The following is a 19,979-nucleotide window of genomic DNA, read 5'->3' as shown; positions in this document are numbered from 1 at the left end:
TTGACGCCCCCAGCTCGGTGGAACGTTGCGGCGGCAGCTGCAGGAGGCTCATCCAGCACCTAACTCTGCAGGCCTGCCAGCCCCCCGTGAAGCAGATCAGAACAGGGACAGGGGAGAGCTGGATCCAGGTCACAGTGACACAGCCTGGGAGGACTTGCCAAGCAGCTGTGGGCAGGGGTGGAGGCCCGGAGGCCCTCAGCCACGGGTGACCAGGGGACAACAGGAGAGGCCACTGCACCCTGACTGCCCGCTGCCTGCCCATCAATGGGGCTGTTCAGCAGCAAGGGCGTGCTGGCCTTGTGCCAGCCTCTCCCCAGCCCTGGAGCTGCCCTGTCCCACCTCCGGCCGGCAGCGCTTCCTGCCCCGGACACTGGGCCTGCGGAAGCTTGGCTGGCCCCTGACCAGGGCCTGGGTCACAGCGCCTCCAGCCTCTCCGCTGTCCCAGGCTTGGGAGGGTGACAAGAGGGTGAAAAGGACATCATGCCCTGGCGGCGAGGCTGTCATCACTGTGGTGTGTACCCAGCACCAGGCCGGGGTCCCTGCTGAGCCTCCACACCCCTTGGGTGCTTGGCACCAGCTCCAAATTGACCTGGACGAAGAGATTCCCCAATGTTCAGTTCAGGTGATGAGTCTGCCTAAGAAAACAGACCTCGGCAAGGTTCCCATGCCGGCAGCCCCATGCTTCACGCTTAGGCTTGGGGAGGGGAAGGCAGATCCACGGCTGGGGCGGCAGGGCTGTGGGCACCAGGCCGGGTGTGGCATCACCACTGCAGTCTCACAACCAAGAGGGGGGCACTGCTGTACCCACTTTACAGACGAGGAGACAGAAGCAAGCAGCCACCCGATGCCAGGGTCACACTATGACCTGTGGACTCAAGGACTCTGTAAACCAGATCCTGACACCCCTGCTGAGCACCCCCACACCCTCCTGCCAGCAGGACAGAACCCTCTGTCTTAGGCCCTCAGTGATCCTAACTCCCCTGGAGCCTCCCATCCCCACTATTTATCTTGTGATGTGGTCAAACCCCTATCCAGAAGCTCCCAGAACACAGCCCCTCACCACCTGCCTCTGAGCCTCTGTAAATGCTGATCTCTCCATCCTGACACCCTTCCCTGCTGCCCCATTCCCTGAAATCCACTGGAACATCAAAACATCAAAGACCCTTCCCATGAGAAGCCCTCCCTGCTCACTCCCACGCCCTCCACTCAGGGACATTGAGGTTCCCACTCTCTTGGCTCCCCCTGTACCGCGTACCAACCCCCCAACTCCGCCCCGCCCGCCAGTGCATGGATCCCGCTGGGTTATCACTGCCTATGTCTGGTGCTCAACAGATGCTTAGAGGATGGTAACGGGTGTCTCTGTGCCTGAAGAGCAAGAAGACCGGAGGGTGGGCGTGGGGGGAGGGAAGGTCCCAGAGCTCAGGCTGCAGGGAAATTTCATAGTCACTTGATTCCCTCATCTGAGAAGGGCCAGGCCTGGAAAAGCCCTGCCAAGGGGCCTTCCAGAGCGCCGTGCATGTCCCCAAGGTATAGTGAACTCATTACCTCGCAGCAAAGTACAGTCCAGATCCATAGAGTTAAAACCATTGAGTTCCACGGAGCTGCCCCCAGCCCCATTTAGGCCCTTAGGGTGCCCAGTGAAAGCCCCGAGTGCCCTGCAGCTGTGTGAGACCAACAGTTTTCCCCAAATTTCTCCTTTCAGGAATAAAGATAACCAGTTAGCTTTTCCAGCTGTTCCTTCTTGCCTGCTTCATTCATTCATTCATTCATTATTTCCTAGGGGTCTGTGATGTGCTGGGCACCACGGGAGGTAGGTTTTTGCCAACATTTAATTTAAACCTCAAAGCAATCACCCCCACTTAACAGACGCAGACACTGAGGCTCATGGAGGTGAAGCGCGCTGCCTGGCTGGCAGGTGTTGGAGCCACACCTGAAGTGCCTTTGTCCAGAGGGAAAGAGCCAAGATGAAAAGCCCCCCACCTACTCCCCAGTGCCCTGCACCTCCTCATCTGCAGATGGGGCCAACACCCGCCCCACCCAAGGGGGCCTGGGGACCTGGGGAGATGATGCAGATGAGCTTGGTGCGTGCACTCAGCAGCAGGATGACAGCCTCGTCTGCAGCCCAAGGTCCTGTGCGCCACCCACATCCCCACTGCCTTCTGCCCTCCCATCTCACGGAGAGGTTGAGAGACTCCTTCCAGGCCAGGGCGCTCAGCAGAGCCAGAGTCAAATCCAGGAGCTGCCGCCAGCTTCTGTGGGCTCAACCAGCACCCCACGCTGCCACCAGCAGCATCGACTGGGGAAGTGACAAAACCGCCCTCGGTTTGAAAGGAAAATGACAGCTCTTGCACCTCCACTTACACGTGATGGGTTTTGTGTCTTTTTCACCCCTGGCTTCCCCACCTCACACCCACACTTTCCGTCTGCTTTTAAAAGCACATGGGACTCAAGGTGGAGTTTTTTGTTTTGTTTTGTTTTTTGCAGGGTGGAGGAGGTCTCCTGGCAAAAAGCCCATCGCCTGGCCTGGTGGCCCAGGCTGCAGCCAGCTAGGACAAGCCCAGGAGCCACAGGACCAGTCTCTCCCCTGCTTTTCACTGTAATTAAAGTGTGCCGGGAGAGTGAGCACGGCAGGGGTGAATCACAGTCCCACCTGTCAAGGACTAACCCCGCGCAGTTCCCACATCCTCTCATGACAGCTGGGCTGGGCGGAGATGGTGACGCCGGCAGACGGTCCCTTCCCCGGCCTGTTGCCCAGTTGGAGCTGCAGGGGCACCTGTTAGATTCCAGGTGGGCAGCATTTAGGAGTCCTGTGCATCCACCCCAAGAGGCTCTGGCACTCCAAATTCCTCCTCCAACTGCAGCCCTGTCTCAGCTCCCTGCAGCCACCTGCCTCACCACCAGCTACGTGATAGGCCACCATTGCAAGACACCCAGGTGGGAGAACAAGCAGAGCAAAACCCAAAGCCATCTCGTCAGGGAGGCTGCCGAGGCAGCCTGGCTTAGTGGAAAGGGAATAGGCTTTAGAGCCAGACTGCCTGGGTTTGAATCCCAGCCCCGCCACCTGCTGGTTGTGGGATCTGGGCACCCTCCTCCCCAAGCCTGCAAGACCCTGGCTGGGAAACAGGAGATCCCTGTGAGAGACCCATCGCGTAAGGATGGTGTGGGCCTCAGATCCTAGGACCCAGGTAGCCCATGTGGTATACAGTGGGGTCTCTGCAAATGTTAGTCCCCGTCCCCTCCCATGAGATGTGTGGTGTATACCAGTGTCAAGAGTGCAGTCCTTCAAATAACTGAAGCTGGAATGACGTGCCCAGCTCTCCAGGGGCTTGGAATAAGTTCTCCCTCCCAGGATTCCTGGGAGATGGGGGTTCTGTTCCCATTTCTCGGGGGTGGAGGGGAAACTGGGAAATGGGGAGAATCCAGGGTAGAGTGATAGTGGCAAACCAGGACCTGACCCCAGGAGGGACAGGGAAAGATGGGGCTGACTCTGAACGCCACCCTCTACCCCTAGCCACGTGGCAGTGGGCCTGCCTGTGACTGAAGGGATTCCTGAGTGGGAACCCAGCCCTCAACCCCCACAGACTGAGTAGGCAAGGGCACAGGTGCTACCTCCTAGGAGCCTCCCCACATCCTCCCAGCCCTCCTGGTGCTCTGACCCCCCTCAGAGCCATGGGTGTGGGAGTCTGAACGTGGTCTCCTCAGGATCAAGGTCTACCTCTTGGTTCCTTAGGCCAGCAGGGCATTACTGTGCAGTTTTACACCAGCCACTAAGGAGGCCCGTGGGCTGTATTTCACTCGATCCCAGCATCCACAGAAAGCCATGATTCTCCTGGGAAACCAACTTGCTTTATCTCTGGGTCGCAGGACTACTGTAACCAATCCAGTTCTCCTTTTCACTTTGGCTGCTAGGATGCTCCTCATCTTACATTCAGTTTTGTTCTTTTGCTATCATTATGTGCTCTTTGTGCTAATTCCCTCAACTATTTGTTATCTTAGTGAAGTGTAAGTACACAAGTAAGCTACCTAAGGCCATTTGCAAAACTGGCGGTTATTAATACATAAATAATATTTGACCCCATTGCTGAGTGATACTTATGTAATAATGCACAGTTCATAAAGGCATTTCCTATGTGTGATAACACCCATTGAGGGCAGAACTGGGAACTAGAGCTACTGGAATACAGAAAAAGATAAAAAACGGGCAGGGCCGTCCTCAAGGCCCTAGTAGATTTCAGCAGAAACTGAAACAGTCTGGATGGGGGTGGGGAGGCAGGCTCTAGGCAGGCAGGGGCTGAGGAGCCGCAGCTGGTCAGTGCTCTTGAGGCCCCAATCATCTCTGCAGAGGGCACTGGAATTTCAGCCCCTCCTCTCAGCACCTCATTTGAAAGTCAGAATAGGTCCTCCCCCATTTGAATCCAAAGCACAAACTCTCCCGAGAAGGAAATCTCTTTGCCAAGCTTGTAGTCCACGGAGTGTGTGCAGCCCAGGGACGGCTTAGGGGCTGAGACTCTTGAGCGGCTGGACAAGGGGGTTGGGCTGTCCCGGCCTCTCAGGGTGTCTGCGCCCCTCCTCCTGCATTTCCGACTTCTGTTCTGTGTGAGTCAATCAACAGTATTCACCCAGTGAACCCCCTGGGCACCATCTACTTTGCCAGCCCTGCCAGGCCCCTGGTAGAGCGGAGATGAGGCCAACTCTGGCCTTCCCGTGCAGCGGGACGCGGTACACCTTAGGCCCCAGTGCATGAGGCCCCGGGAAAGTGAGAGCAGGCTCAGCAAGTGCAGCTGGGCTGGGCCAGGAGGCAGATAGAGGGAGCACATTGTGTCCAGAGACAGCAGCTGCATGCCAGGGCCCAGGACAGAGGGGGCATGGCCACCACGAGGCTCCTCCTTCATCCTCACCGCCCCCTCTGCTCCCACTCTCAGGCCTGGGCACCCACTTCATCCCTGCCCCTAGGACAAGCACTGGGTCTCCAGGCCCTGGCCATGTGGGGGTGGGGCTTGGCCCACATCCCGGCCCCCTCTGGTCAAGCAGCATCTGGTCTAATGAGCACACCGTCGGACAGCCTGCTATAAACCCCACCTGTCTGATGGCAGAGGCCCTCTACGAGCCTCATGGCTCAGGAGGAAAAAGCCTGTTTCTTGGAGGAGCCTCACTAGGACCAAGTCAACCAGCCCCAGCTGCTATGGAAGGAACACGGTCAATACAGCCACCCGGGCTAAATGCACACCAAGCCACGCCAACTCCCCCATGGCTGCCCCTTGCAGGTAAAGTAAAATCGAACACCTTTCCAGCCCTCAGGGCCCCAGAGGGTGGGAACTATCCTCAGGCCCTGGCTCATTCCATGCCCCCTCACGGGGCACTTGAATCCACAAAGCACATTCCCACCTCAGAGATATGCCCCAGCTGTCCCCTGCCCACAATGTTCTTCCCCCAGGGGGCTCAACCACGCCATCCAAAAGCACATGCCCATCACCCTCCTCACCCAGCCCAGCCCTCTTTAGGCCTGGAGCCCACCTGGTCTTGTGCCCACTCAGAATTCTCTTGTTCTCTGGCCTGTCTCCTTTGGTACTGTCCGCCCCCCTGTGAGATGTCAGCTGCATGAGAGCAGGCATCTTCTTTCATCCACCGGTGTCTTCCCAGTGCCAGAAAGAGTCCCGGGATTGAGTTCTTGATTTGATTCTCAGCCTGGGCATTGTTGGTGTAGAGCAGTGCTACTGATTTGTGGACACTGGTTTTATAACCTGAGACTTCACTGAATTCATTTATCAAATCTAGGAGTCTTTTGGTGGAGTCTTAAGGTTTTCTAACCACCCTAAGTGCCCATCAACCAATGAGTGAATAAAGAAAATATGGTATACATACACCATGGAATACTACTCAGCCATAAAAAGGAATAAAATTGTGTATTTTGCAGCAACTTGGATGGAGCCTGAGGCCATTATTCTAAGTGAAGTAACTTAGGAACAGAAAACCAAATACTCTATGTTCTCACTTATAAATGGGAGCTAAGCTATGGGTAGGCAAAGGCACGCACAGGAGTATCATGGACATTAAAGACTCAGGAGGGAGACAGGAGTGACGGGCTTGAGGGATAAAAAATTACATATTGGATACAATGTCCACTGCTCAGGTGAGGGGTGCTGATAAAATCTCAGACTTCCCCACTATACAATTCATCCATGTAACCAAAAACCACTTATACCCCCAAAAGCTATTGAAATTTTATATATATAAGGAAAAAGAAAGGAGAAAGAGGAAAGAAGGAAGGGAGGGAGGGAGGGGAGGGGAAGGGAGGAAGGGAGGAATGGAGGAAGGGAGGGTGGGTCCCATCACCTTCTTTAAGTGAATGCATGAACTGAGCGAGTGTGAATGACAAAGGAGTAGGAGCATCCTGGCTCTCCAATCACGCTTTCCATCTCACCCTTGACCTTTCCCCAGCCTTCCATGGACAACTGAGAGTGACAGGAAGGGCCCCACCTCCAAGGTGTACAGAATGACTCTGGCCAACCTCATCAAAGAGTCACGGGGCCCTGCCTTCCACTGGGAAACAGCCTCCATCCAGACGTGTGGCTGTGTTTGTGTTTCTAAACCCCCACCTGCAGCCGTCTGGCAGACATCAGCTGTCACACCAGCCATCTGGCAACAGACTCAGAAAGCTGTGTCCTCAAAGTAAAATGTCAAATGTGAATCTTCCCAGCAGGTAATATCACTCTCCAGGTGGATGTAAGAAAACCTGGCCTCTTCTATGTTCATCCTTTCTAGACATCAGTACAATGCCTTCTCCTCTGTGGGGATCCATTGTCCATCATTAAAACCACATCTCTGGATGGTAGAAGGCACACAATCACCTATGCTATTCACACTATCTAGAAAAGCAAGCCTTTCTCTGAGCTTACTTTTATGAAAAGTAGTGTTCCCCAGCGTTTGATTTTTTTGATTATCAGTTTAATTCTAACCATTGAGGTAGAAATATATTTTTAAGTGATGCATATATTTCCGTATCTTTTTAAAATCTTATTTTCATTTTTTTTGTAGAGACAAAGTCTTGCTATTTTGCCCAGGCTGGTGTTGAACTCCTTGTCTCAAGGGATACACCCTCCTCGGCCTCCCAAAGTGCTGGGATTACAGGCATGGGCCACCATGCCTGGCCCTTCCTGTCTTTTTAAAAAAGAGTACACTGAATATCATTCAGGATCTCCACACCACCAACTCAACCATCTGTAAGAACAAGGAAAATAACATAAAAGAAAGAGGCAGGGTGGGGGGAATCATTAAGGATTAGAGGAGCCTGCAGAAAAGCAGAGTACAGGCCCCGGCCAAGGTGGGCAGCCACTTGTCCATAAAAGCCAACTGCTAACATGTGTAACACAGAACCACCAGTGACAGCAAAACTTCTATATTTTTAAAGAAGCCATTCCAGATTTTAGGTTAAATGTCATGTGTTTTTTGTTTTTTTAGAGGTGGGGTCTTACTTTGTTGCCCAGACTGGAGTACAGTGGCATGATCATAGTTCACTGCAGCCTCAATCTTCTGGACTCAAGGGATCCTCCTGCCTCAGCCTCCAGAGTAGCTAGGACCACAAGCATGCACCACTATGCCTAAGTTTTTTGTTTTTTGTCTTTTTTTAATGTAGAGATAGGATCTCACTATGTTGTCCAGACTGGTCTCAAACTCCTGGTCTCAAGCAATTTTCCCACCTTGGCCTCCCCAAGTGCTAGGATTACAGGTGTGAGCCACCATGCCCAGCCTCATGCTTTTATGTGATGGAAAATGCCATGTAAGTCAGACGAGACAAGTCGGAGGGTCCAATTTGTTCCTTAGGCAACAAAAGCCAAACCCAGCTCGATTCATGATTAGAAGGACTGAACTTGCCACACTCAGAGCCTGATGAAAGAGGAAGCCGGCCCATTTCCAGGCATAATATTATTTATAGCTCTTCTATACACAATGTCCAACAATCAACCAAAAATTACAAGACATGTTAAAAAAAAATACACCTCATTTATAATCACCAAAAACTGGAAACAGCCTAAATGCTGAATATGAAAATACAAACTGTGGTTTATTCATACAATGGAATACTGCTCCTCAGTAAAAAAGAACAAACTACTGACCCACACTACAACATGGATGAATTGCAAATGCATTATGCTAAGTGGAAGATGCCAGACCCAAAAGGCTCTATGCTATGTGATTCCACTTACCTGGCGTCCTGGAAAAGGCAAAACTATACAGACCAAAACCAGATCGGTAGTTGTCAGAGATTAAGATGGCAGGAGAAGACTGGCTACTAAGGCACGCAAGGGATTCTGGGGAGTGATAAAATTATTCTATATCTTGATGGTGATGGTATTGATATGATTATATAAGTTTGTCAAAATTCATAGTACTGTACACCTAAAACGGCACATTTTCTGGTATGGAAATTCAACCTCAATAAACCTGGAAGGGAAAAAAGAATGGTCAGGCTGTGGATAAGGGGCTGTGTGGGTAACAGCTGAGTAGCTGCGATGATTGAGACAGTACTAGCCATGCACCAGTTACTGAACTAATGGCTTAGCTCGTTTAATCTTTCTCCCAACATAGGCATAGATGCGATAGACATTTTACCATCAAAACTGGGCACGAAGAGTTAAAGTGAGTTGCACAGGCAAGTGGAAGAGCCAGGTTTGCTCAGGTGTGTCTGACTCCCAGTGTGTGCTCTGGATAAAATGACACCAGGCCCTAGGGTTTGCAATGTGAGGTCTGTGGGCCCCTGAGGGCAGGATGGGGTTCCCTATCAAGTATCTGGCATCCAGTATGGTGCATTCGCCTTGCAAGGAGTGGCACACCAACAGCCCTGCCCAGCTAGAACCACATTTGAGCACTAGCACCTCGGGACCAGGTGACCAGGGTGCAGCACCTAGCTCTGCCACCTCTTAGCTGGATAATCTTCAGGGACTTACCTCCCTGAGCCTTGGTTTCCCTGTCTGTAAAGTACAGATACCTACCAACAGGATCACAAGAGGACCAAACCAAGTATATATGCAAAATGGCCGCCAAAGTGTGGCACATAGTAGGTACTCAATAATGAGGTTCCAGTTATGTCTGCTGCTGTATCACCTTGCACGATACGCGACTGTCTGCCCTGCGTCCTTCACATCAAACAGGCTGGACAGTTGTATGAACACGTGCTCGTGGTTCCTGCCTCCAGACGTTTGCTGGAAGTTTCTGTCACATTCTGAAGTGCTAGGGGTTCGGACTTCAACATTTAAATTCCGGGGGCAGGGGCGCCTGCTCAGCGTTCAATGGGCCTTCCTGTGGCCCTCACCGGGTTCTCGGGTTTCTGTACATTTGTAGAATCAGCTGAATGGTGGAGGTGGCCTGTGACTGTCGGAAGCCCCTTCTCACCTTCAGATGGTACTTCTGGGAGCCTGGAAGTGATATGGGTGAAATTCACATGTCACTGCCTCACAGCTGGTTTAAGACAAAGGGAGGCTTAGGCCCCCAAGTCCTAAGCCTCAGCCCTGGAAAACAGAGGTGAAGAAACATTGATTCCTCCAGTGGGACAGGAAGGCAGACTGAGCCAGAGGTGCCGCAGGCCCATGGGGAAGAGGAAGGGCTCCTTGGAGGGAGGCGGGGGCTGTGATAGAGGAGGAAGAAGTGGCCACCTGGGCTCAGGAGCAAAAAGCACAGGGCGGTGGCAGGCCCGCCCAGAGGGGGCCCAGATTGGACATGCCTGGAACATCGCACCAATCACTGTGCCAGGCATGGAACAAGACCCATGTCTGCACTGAGGATGCCTCCGTTGACGCAGAGGTACCCTTGAGGGCTCATCCAGCCTTACACATAGGCCCAGGCCCTGTCAGCTCCTTATTCATCTTTTGGGTCTTGGTTTAACAGCCCCCTCCATGCCCCCAGGCTAGGTGCCTCATCTGGGTTCCCATAGCCCCCAGCACTCTGTATGATCACTATAGTCACCGGCAGCTTTGTCACTGTAGGGTTCCCATCCTTCAACACTACACCAGGCACACCATGGCCATTTATTAATGTTGACTGAGCAAGCTCTTGATCTGCACACATTGACGCTTCTGGACACTGGGGACCTTGAAGCTTTATTCTGGTGTCCCAACAGTCTCTGACTCTATGGCTGCTTGGAGAGAGTAACAGGGTCTCCATGCAACCTTCTGACCCCGGGCGCTTGCATTCAGAACTTGTGGAAGTCTGTCTGCTGTCAGGGGAGATGGTTCTGGTAACAAAACCAGAAGCCACAAGAGACTCAAATCCCTTCACTCAAAAACTCAGGAGCTTGAGAGTGGTCACCAGCCCCTGGGGTCTCACTTCTTCCTCAGGAGGTGGCAACATGCCTCTAGCCAGCTATGATTCCTCCACGGGGGAGTGTGGGCTAGTGCTTTTGGTAACACATTCAGAATGGCTGCGAACTGTACAAGAACTCAGCCTTCCAGTCCCCATTTATTTCTACTATGAACAGAACATTTCAGCACTCTTCCATAATTCACCCTTGTCATCCTTAATAGCTAATAATAAGAGTTAACATTTTCTAAGCCAAGCACTTTAAATTCGTTATCACATTTAATCTGTGTAAAGGCACGGGAAGGTCAGATAACTTGTCCAGGGTCGTGATGCCAGTAATAATGACGACATGAGAGCCAACTCTTGCAGAGCACATACTGGGTACCATGCTGAGTCCTTAGTTTGTATCCACTTACTTGTCCCAAACATTTTGTGCTTGGGCTGAGGCTAAACTGGCATATAGAAGATTGTCAATGGAAGTTCATGGAATGAAATCCTTTCTGTGTTTCTTCCTATATCCCAGACACACAGCACAGTGTCTGGGATATGAGAGATGTCCAAAAAAATTTTTTTTGTTTGTTTGGATGGATACATGAATGGAAGGATGGATGCACGAATGGATGCATGGATGGATGGATGGATGGATGGATGGATGGATGGATGGAAGGAAAGCTAGCTGGATGGGTGGATGGATGAATGGGTGAATAGGAGGGATAGATGGATGGATGAATGGATGGATGAATAGATAAATGGATGGTAGATAGAAGGAAAAAAGGATGGATGGATAGATGGATGGACAGATGCACAGATGGATGGAAGGAAGGAAAGCTAGCTGGATGGTTGGATGGATGAATGGGTGGATAGAAAGGATAGATGAATATATGAATGGATGGATGGATGGATAAATAGATGGGTAGATGGAAGGAAGATAGGATGGATGGGTGGATGAATGGATGGTGACAGATGGAGGCAGAAATGGTAGGTTGGGTGATGTGTACCAGGCTTCTCCCCTCTTCCTCCCCCACTCCCCCACACTGCTGGGGAAGACAAAGAGGTAGAGACATGGAGCCCACAGCTAGTCACTGGGGAGAGAAGCTATGGACATAAGTAACCAGAGCAGATGGCAGAAGCAGCCAAGGACCTTCAGAGGTGAGAGAGTCCTCACAGGGAGAAAGGAAGGCTTCATGGAAGAGGTGACATTTGGGCTGTCCTTGCAAAAATCACCATAGGAGGGGCAGGGAGGATCCTCCTGGGAGGAAAGAGGACATGAGCAAATCACAGGGTGGGAGAGAGGTGGCGCACCACAGCAAAGTCCTCACGTTCCTGGTCTGTGTCTCCCCAGACCCTGGGCTACTCCAGGTCCAGGACCAGTGGTGTCCCTCTCCTCCACCGCACCAGCCCTGGCCTGCCCCAGAGCAGACAGCCAGTCAGTGTTCATTGCCTGGATTGATTCAGGCCATGCTGCCTGGCCATTGGCCAGAGCCAAGAATGTGAGTGGCAAGAATGGAAATGAGAATGAGCATGTATTGAGCACCTACTACACACCAAGTACTGACACCATGATCTCAGGAACCTTGTGACCAGCCGATCATGGTCAGACTTGATATTTCACAAAGAGGGAGGCCCACCTGGCCATCATCACCCAACCAGGGGCTGCAGAGGCTGGTTTGGAGCCTGGGGAGGCTCACTCGAAGCTCAGGGCTCTCCACAGTGGAGGGGAGAGCTACAAGAAGAACAGCGGACAAGGCCAGGTGCAGTGGCTCATGCCTGTAATCCCAGCACTTTGGGAGGCCGAGGTCGGTGGATGGCCTAAGGTCAGGAGTTCGAGACCAGCCTGGCCAATATAATGAAACCCTGTCTCTACTAAAAATACAAAAAATTAACTGGGCATGGTGGCGAGCACCTGTAATTCCAGCTACTTGGGAGGCTGAGGCAGGAGAATCGCTTGAACCCTGGAGGCAGAGGTTGCAGTGAGTCAAGATTGCACCACTGCACTCCAACCTGGGCAACTCCATCTCAAAAACAACAACAAAAACAACAACAACAATAAAAAAAAAAAAAAAAAAAAAAAAAAAAACAGAACAGTGGGCAGGCTCCTGGGAGCCCGGCTATGCCCTGGGTCTTCACACCCGTGGTCACAGCAAAGCCAAGTGACAAGACCTGGTCCCTCCTTGCTCTCCACTTCACATTTCTTAACAATTAATCAATTAATCCAGATGTATTAAGAAAGTCCATGATTGGCCGGGTGCGGTGGCTCACGCCTGTAATCCCAACACTTTGGGAGGCAGAGGCAGGTGGATCACAAGGTCAGGAGATGGAGAACATCCTGGCTAACACGGTGAAACCCCATCTCCACTAAAAATACAAAAATGTAGCCGGGCGTGGTGGCGGGCGCCTGTAGTCCCAGCTACTCGGGAGGCTGAGGTAGGAGAATGGCGTGAACCCAGGAGACGACGCTTGCAGGGAGTCAAGATCACGCCACTGCACTCCAGCCTGGGCAACTGAGCAAGACTCCGTCTCAAAAAATAAAAAAAAATAAAAAAAATAAAAAAAAGGCCATGATTTTCTTAGGAACTCTGGGGAGAGTCCCTGTGAATGCGGAGCCCTGCATGTCGCATCCCGCTGCCTCGTTCTCCGTGTGCCACTGAGGAGTGGAGCTTGAGAGCAAGGCCCCTGCCCAGCCTCTCCTCCGACCCCACTTGGCTTGGCAGCTGGCACCCCCTCACCGCACGGCACAGAGGCAGGGAGGATCCCGACTCCAGGCAAAAAAGAGAAGCAGATGTGCTGCTGGAAGCACCACGGGTTGGGGATCTGGGGGCTCCAGCCTCTGGGAAAGTTTCTGGAAGTTTCCTGGACAAAATCCCAGCTGCCACACAGGCATGTCCCCGAATGTCACTCCTGTACTCTGAGCACCTGTGGCATGGTGGGCTCTGGGGTCTGCAGCAGATGAAGATGCCACCACTCCTGCCCTCAATGGGACAGGGCCTCCCAGGCTAAGGGAACAGAAGAGATAGGGCCCCTGAAAACAGGATGGACCAAGTCACAGAGGCTGGGATTTGATCTCACAGCACAGGGGAGCTGCTGGAGGGTTCTGAGCAGGGGGGTGACATCATCCAGCCCGTCTCTGAACACATCCTTCCGGGACAGCATTACTGTCAGACCAGAGACAAGGGGAGGCGAGAGGCAGTGAAGCCGGCAGTGCGGCCATCCAAAACAGACAAGGCCAGGCAAGTTTCTGGAAAAGAGACATTGTCCAGGCCAGTTTCATCTATGGCCCTTCCACAATCCCTGGCATGGCCCAAAGAGGTCTTTCTGTCTGTCCCCGGGCTCAGCCCCTCCTTCCTCCCCGTGCCTGGAACACCCTCTCCCCGACCTCCGCTCCAGTGACCACCCCAGCATGTCCGCTCCTCCTCCCTTTACCCTCTCGTTCTTCTCTTGCGCAACCCAGAGAGCAGCCTGACATTTGCATTCCCCTCTTCTGGGCCTGTCTTCCCCCAGACGGTGAGGGCTTTAGGAGGAGGACTGCGCCTTCCCTGCTGTGTGTCCCCAGAGCCCAGCACTCAGGAGGCACTCCATGATTTTCTAACAACTGAATGAATGATGCATGAGCATCCAAACCAGATCATGCCCACAGCGCACGTTTAGCTAAATCCATCATATTTGTATTCCCATTGCTTTCCTACACGTTGGTGCACAATGAATGCATCGGAAATGGAATCCATCATTGAGGTAGCTCATTTGCTTGGGTGAAATTAACCATGTTGTACTCCCACAGTCTGGGCCATGAGCACAGCAGGGAATCCATATACACAGGCTGACTCTCAGGGGTCCTAGAGGACCCCCAGTCCTCGCAGGCCTCTGCCCAGCTACACATGCTGTTCCCGAGGCCTTGGAAGATCAGCAGGTCCCCTGGAGCCAGCTATCAGGACAGTCGCTGCTCAGCCAGCTGCAGCTCTGCAGGGAGCCCTGGAGATCCACCAGGCCCTTCTGCTGGTCTAGAAGTCCCATGACACCCAATATCACACTTGTTGCAAAGAAAAGGCCCCTGACCTGCAGAGCAGCCAGCTCAGAGGGCTGGGGACCTCCTCCTGAACTGCAGTGGAAGCCAGAGCTCCTCTGTAAGCAGGGGCGTGACATTTGCTCCGTCTTGTCCCCGGGCACTCTGCAACGTACCTGGCACACAGCAGGGTAACCCCAAGGTAATGGACAGGAGCCCTTTCTGCATAGCCTGGCTCCACAAATGTCCACACTCACAGCACAGAACAGAGGGCAAGCTTGACATAGGAGGGAGGGCAGAGGATGCTGACCCAGGCTAGAAACTGAGAGACCCAGAAAGAAGCTCCAGGCCTTGCTAACACCAGAGACAGGTAGGTACTAGAGAAGGGGGAGCCAGGATGAGAAACAGAACAGAAAGGGGGCCAAGGGAGAAATGGGCAGAGGCATCAGAGGGGTCATTGTGCCCTGATCCGAGCAAAACCCATGAGGGGCATCCCAGCTTGGGTGCAGAGCCAGGACAAGATCAATAGACCGGAGTGGGAGCTTCTCAGGGTCCAGCTGAGGGTTGATCGGTGCTTGAGTGTGAGAAGCTTTCTTAGCTATAACACCAAATGCACAATGCACAGACAAAAACACTGATAAATTATACTTCACCAAATGAAGTACTTACGCTCTTCAGCAGCCACCGTTAAGAGAATGAAAAAGACGGCTGGGTGCGGTGGCTCATGCCTATAATCCCAGCACTTTGGGAGGCCAAGGTGGGCGGATCACAGGGTCAAGATATAGAGACCATCCTGGCCAACATGGTGAAACTCCATCTCTACTAAAAATACAAAACATTAGCTGGCTGTGGTGGTGCGTGCCTGTAATCCCAGCTACTTGGGAGGCTGAGGTAGGAGAATCACTTGAACCCAGGAGGCGCCAATTGCAGTGAGCTGAGATTGTGCCACTCCACTCCAGCCTGGCAACAGAGTGAGGCTCCGTCTCAAAATAAAAATAATAAAAATAAAAATAAACTAAAAAAAGAATGAAAAAGACAAGCCACAAACTGGGAGAAAATATTTGCAAATCACATACATGATAAAGGACGCATATCCTGCATGTATACAAAATTCTCGAAACACTATAACCATGACAAAAGCAAACTCTTTTAAAATGACAAAGGATTCTAATAGACATTTCACCAAAGAATATACATGGATGGGAAATAAGCCCCCATAAAGAAGCTCGACATCATTCATCATCACGGAAATGCAAACCAAAACCGTAATGAGATCCACTCCACACCTACTGGGGGACTAAAACTAAAAACACGACTCTAAAGTCTTCACGAGGACACAGAGGAATTGAGACTCCCATTCATTGCTGGTGGAGATATAAAAGGGTAAGTCTGGCAGTCTTTGAAAAACCTAAACATATCCCGGAGATGATTCAGCCATTCCACTCCCAGATATTTACCCGAGAGAAATGAAGACAGGTGTCTCCACGAAAGCTCGTATAGGAGTGTTGGCAGCAGCTTCATTTGTTATAGCCAAAGCCTAGAAACATCCCAGACAGCCATCAACAAGCAAATGGATAAGCAAATTGTGGTCTGTAGAAAGGATGGAATAAAAGGGAACGAACAATTGATTGACTGATGTGACAACATGTCTGAATCTGAAAACAGCGATGCTGAGTAGAGGAGGCCAGACAAGGAGGAGGATACTGCAGAGACGAAATTCTAGGAAAGGCCAACTGATCTATAGTGGCGGGAAGGAGACAGTGGGTGTCTGGGAGGAGGCCAAGGAGGGAGGGAAGACAGAGATAATCAAGGGGCAAGAGGAGACTTTTAGGGGTAATGTATGTGGCCCCTACCTATTGTGGCTAAAGTTTCAAGAGAAATAAACACACGTCAAAATTCAGCACATCGTGCACTTTGAATCTGCGTGATTTATTATATCTCTATTATACCTCAATAAAACTGTTCTTTTGAAACCCTGCAGAAAGCTGGTATGTTGTTCTAGCTGATGGTGAGTGCTTTGCTCTGAAATACGCTGACCTGCATTACTGACTCATGGGAGCAGTTTCATTCACATCTTTCTCTTTGCAGATTGGCCAAGATTTGCTGATACAATTCTATCTTCGCAGCCTAGAATCTTCAGGGACAAACTCAAATCCAAGGTCAGAACCGTGGAAGACTCTGCAGACTCAGCTCCAGCTCCCGTCTGCCTTGTGCCCCCGCCCTGGGGTGTGTGCATCAGGCTGAGCAGATCTCCGGGCTGCGTTTTAGCGTTTCTGGAAGTGGAACTTGATCCTGTCCGAGGGGGCCTCATGGGGCAACTAGTATGGTGGTTCACAAACCATTTTTAGTTGTAATCAAGTATGACTTCGGTATACTTCGTGAGTTGGTCTTTTGTAAAAGCCAATTCACAAAGTATACCGAAGTTGTACTTCATTATTATGAAAATGTATTTAATAAATGCCATTTTTAAAGCCGGTCAATGTGGATAGGGAGGCTGCTCTGAGGAACACACACCTCTGGCCCTGCTGGTGTCACTCCCCGCATTCAAGGCTGTGTAACCTTGGACAACTGTCTTAACTTCTCTGTGACTGAGTTTCCTCATTTCTAAAATGGGGGTGATGATAGTGTCTACCTCCATGAGTTGTGGAGGAGATTAAATGTGATGACACAGTTATGCTGCCCAGCGGAGGCCCAGCCAGGGCAGGACTCCAGAGCCGTCAGCTCTCCACGCACAAGCATGACTGCTGGCTCTCCATCCCCCAGGGTCTTCCCTGCTGCTCCTGTTCCTGGGAGCTCTTTCTCCCCAGTTCCAAATTCCCCAAATCCACCCATTCCTTACCCTTCTCTAAGAAGCCTTTCAGAATGGAAAACTCATAGCCTTTGAGTTTGAATCCCCCCATTTCCCAGCGCCTGCTCCTTGAACCCCCATTCTGAGCCCTGCCTACTGCGGGTGACACCCCTGGCTTGCAGAGCTGCTCCGGAGAGGGCATAAGCTCGCAGAACATCCAGCTGCCACCTACCAAGGCCTGGCGACCACAGCACTCACTGGGTATCTCCTCTCCCGGTGGGTTACGCGGGCCTCAGGCCCTCTCCCCAGCCTGGACACAGCTACACAAGGGCACAGCTGGGCCAACTCTCGTCCCCGCCCACGCTTGACCCCAGCAGGTAGCCCAGAGCCTCGAGGAAAGAAGGTGTATGGTAACCACTCCTCAAACCGAATTCCATTCCCACTGCTTGGCAGCTCCATTTCAGAGGCACTAAAAAAGCTGAAAATACCTCAAAAATCTTCAGCAGCAAGCCAAAGCCACATGCCTGTGTGGAGGGCAGGTTCTCACTCCTCCATTTCAAATGCTTCCGACAAAGAGCCCATCGTCTGTGTCGCCCGGTGTCAACCAGGCCCCTCTGCTCAAGTCCAAACTAGCTTTTGATCGGGACCTGCCTCAAGGGAAAGGCCTCAGCGTTCTCACACTTGCTAAAGATAGATTTGGCTGCCAGACGGGCTGAGGCTCCCGTGTGGTTTACAGGTACATAAAAAGAGCTCTGGGTCCCTGAGTCCTGCGTTGCTAGGAAACGAGACCAGAAGTCAGGAAGCCTGAGCTCCATCACCAGTGGCATCTCCGATTCACTGGGCGACCGAGGGCCAATCACTTAACCTCTCTGGAGCTTCCACACTTGCACACAGGAGAGAAAACACCTGCAGCACGGGAGGTGCCACAGAAGTGCCAGCGTGCGCCCGGTGATTTAGACCTTTCCAAGTGCTGACAACCCTGACAACCAAGGGGCTCCCAGCCCGCCTGGTGCTAGACCCAGGCACCACGGTCCAGTGTGCAGGGCAGGATGGGAAGTTGCAGAGGAGAGAGAATTCTGCCCAGGGCTCTGAAAAGCTCCAAAATACCAGAACCATGGGCCCCAGAACTCTTCTCAGTAGGAGAGGGCCAGAGAGCAGGAGGTCTTGGCATGGAGGGTGCCACACCAGAGGTGTGTCTCTGCTGCTGCTGCTGTGCACGGGCAGGGTCTGTGGCTTTATCCTGGGGAGGCACAAGGAAGAGCAGAAAGAGGACAGACAGGGTGCTGGAGAGAGAAGACAGGGTGCTAGAGAGAGAGGACAGGGTGCTGGAGCGAGACGACAGGGTGCTGGAGAGAGAGGACAGGGTGCTGGAGAGAGAGGACAGGGTGCTGGTGGGAAGAGGGGGAGTGAAGAAGAGATGTGTGGGGTGGGCAAGGAGCTGTGGGTGGCCAGTGGGCACCTTTAGGAACTGCCCTGAGGTTGCTGGCATGTCTGCAATATCAACTCCAACTGGTCACGCCCTTCATTCAAGTTACCAAACCCACCAGTGCTCAGTGTAACAGGCCAGTCTGACACCGCTCTAGAAACCCAGGAAGGGGATGGGTTTCATGTAAGGGTCAACCTGGCATCGGAAGAAGAGCAGGTGTCCACCCCAAATACGGAGCCCATCTACCCCCACCCCAAACACACAGGCCAGAAAAGTCCCCAGCTGCCCCCTGGAAAGGTGACCAGAGGAGAAGCTGCTCAACAAAGCCCAAGGTAGCCAGCCAGGCTGGAGCAGCAGAAGGGGCAGGGGGTTGGAGGCGGTGGTGGGGGTGCTCCTACTGCCTTGAGGCCCCACCGGGCACTGACCTCCATCCTGGAGTGGAAAACACTGATCCCTAAAGGAGTTTCACGCAGGGACTCGGCCTGGGGTGGAGTCAAGAAAGTGCCCCTGAGAGGGAGAGGGATGAAAGCAGCTGGAGGCTCCCAACACCTCTGACTTGGAACAGGGTTCCAGGCATCCTGACTATGCCAGCAGCACAAACAGAGGGTCCATAGGGAGCCAAAGATGGCCTCTAGAAAAAGACAGTGGGCAGGAGCCTACCTCCCACTCTGTGCACACACACAGGCCTGCGCACACACACTCAGACACACACTGTGTACACATACCACCCCATGCATGCACACTCATGCACACACACTCATGCACAGACATATACACAAACCCATGCACATACACTCACTCATACACACACCAAGCACACACACTCATGCACACACCAGGCCTGTGCATGCACACTCATACACACACCATGCACACACACACTCATGCACAAACTCATGGGCACACACACTCATGAACAAACACACCACTCACAGCTTCTCAGTCTGCCCCTGTGGACCCCATTGAAGCCCTGTTCTCCCTCAGTGCTTACAGAACAGTTGTCAGCACCCACCCTCAGCCGCTTCCCTCTGATGGCAAATGCCAGAAATGATGACCTCAATCCAAAAGGAAGGAATTGCTGCCAAGCTCGACAGGCATGGCGGCGGAGCCCTGACCTGCCCCAGCCTGGCTCTGCTGCCCTTCCCCACCCCCAAGCGGCCAGGGCAGGCATTTGCTCCTCCTCTCTGAGCCTCTGTTTCCCCATCTGTAAAATGAGGGACAGCCTCCCCTGTGGACCCTGGCCTGGATGGACCACAGCAATGGTAGGAAAAGGGACAGGACTCTGTACACATCCAAGGGGCTGCTTTTCTTCTTTTCTGGAAGAATCATTTACGAAAGGAACTTCCAGGTGGCTCAGAAGTGAAGGAGAGGAGAGTCATGCATGGAATCTTCCAGAATCCCCTCCCAGGACCCGTGAACGATCCCTCCCGGGCACAGCAGTGCCTTTATCTGGCTCTGAACGTCGCCTGGGGAGA

At 52.4% G+C, this 19,979-nt stretch overlaps 1 protein-coding gene, 1 non-coding gene and 1 pseudogene across 9 annotated transcripts in view, besides 2 other annotated features; 1 reads left to right on the top strand and 2 right to left on the bottom strand.

The window, feature by feature from the left end:
- The window catches only part of SORCS2 (sortilin related VPS10 domain containing receptor 2), a 550,290-nt gene that overhangs the window by 415,657 nt on the left and 114,654 nt on the right, over positions 1–19,979 (bottom strand). The gene's annotated exons all lie outside the window — the stretch shown is intronic.
- TRSUP-TTA3-1 (tRNA suppressor (anticodon TTA) 3-1) lies at positions 2,989–3,060 on the top strand (annotated as a pseudogene).
- Positions 4,248–4,807: an enhancer, noted in NCBI's record as "H3K27ac-H3K4me1 hESC enhancer chr4:7324091-7324650 (GRCh37/hg19 assembly coordinates)". NCBI's record gives its function as "activates a minimal SCP1, AML or CMV promoter by ChIP-STARR-seq in primed H9 embryonic stem cells {active_cell/tissue: H9 hESC(primed)}" and the evidence as "EXISTENCE:reporter gene assay evidence [ECO:0000049][PMID:30033119]".
- On the bottom strand, positions 16,647–16,721 carry MIR4798 (microRNA 4798). The gene has a single exon (NR_039961.1). It is a non-coding gene; the product is annotated as a microRNA 4798 (primary transcript).
- Positions 19,092–19,591: an enhancer, noted in NCBI's record as "H3K4me1 hESC enhancer chr4:7309307-7309806 (GRCh37/hg19 assembly coordinates)". NCBI's record gives its function as "activates a minimal SCP1, AML or CMV promoter by ChIP-STARR-seq in naive H9 embryonic stem cells {active_cell/tissue: H9 hESC(naive)}" and the evidence as "EXISTENCE:reporter gene assay evidence [ECO:0000049][PMID:30033119]".

The sequence above is a fragment of the Homo sapiens genome, chromosome 4 (genome assembly GCF_000001405.40).
Source record: "Homo sapiens chromosome 4, GRCh38.p14 Primary Assembly".
Lineage (NCBI taxonomy): Eukaryota > Metazoa > Chordata > Mammalia > Primates > Hominidae > Homo > Homo sapiens.
The sequence above is the reverse complement of the archived record's forward strand: the minus strand, read 5'-3'. Positions and strand labels throughout refer to the sequence as shown.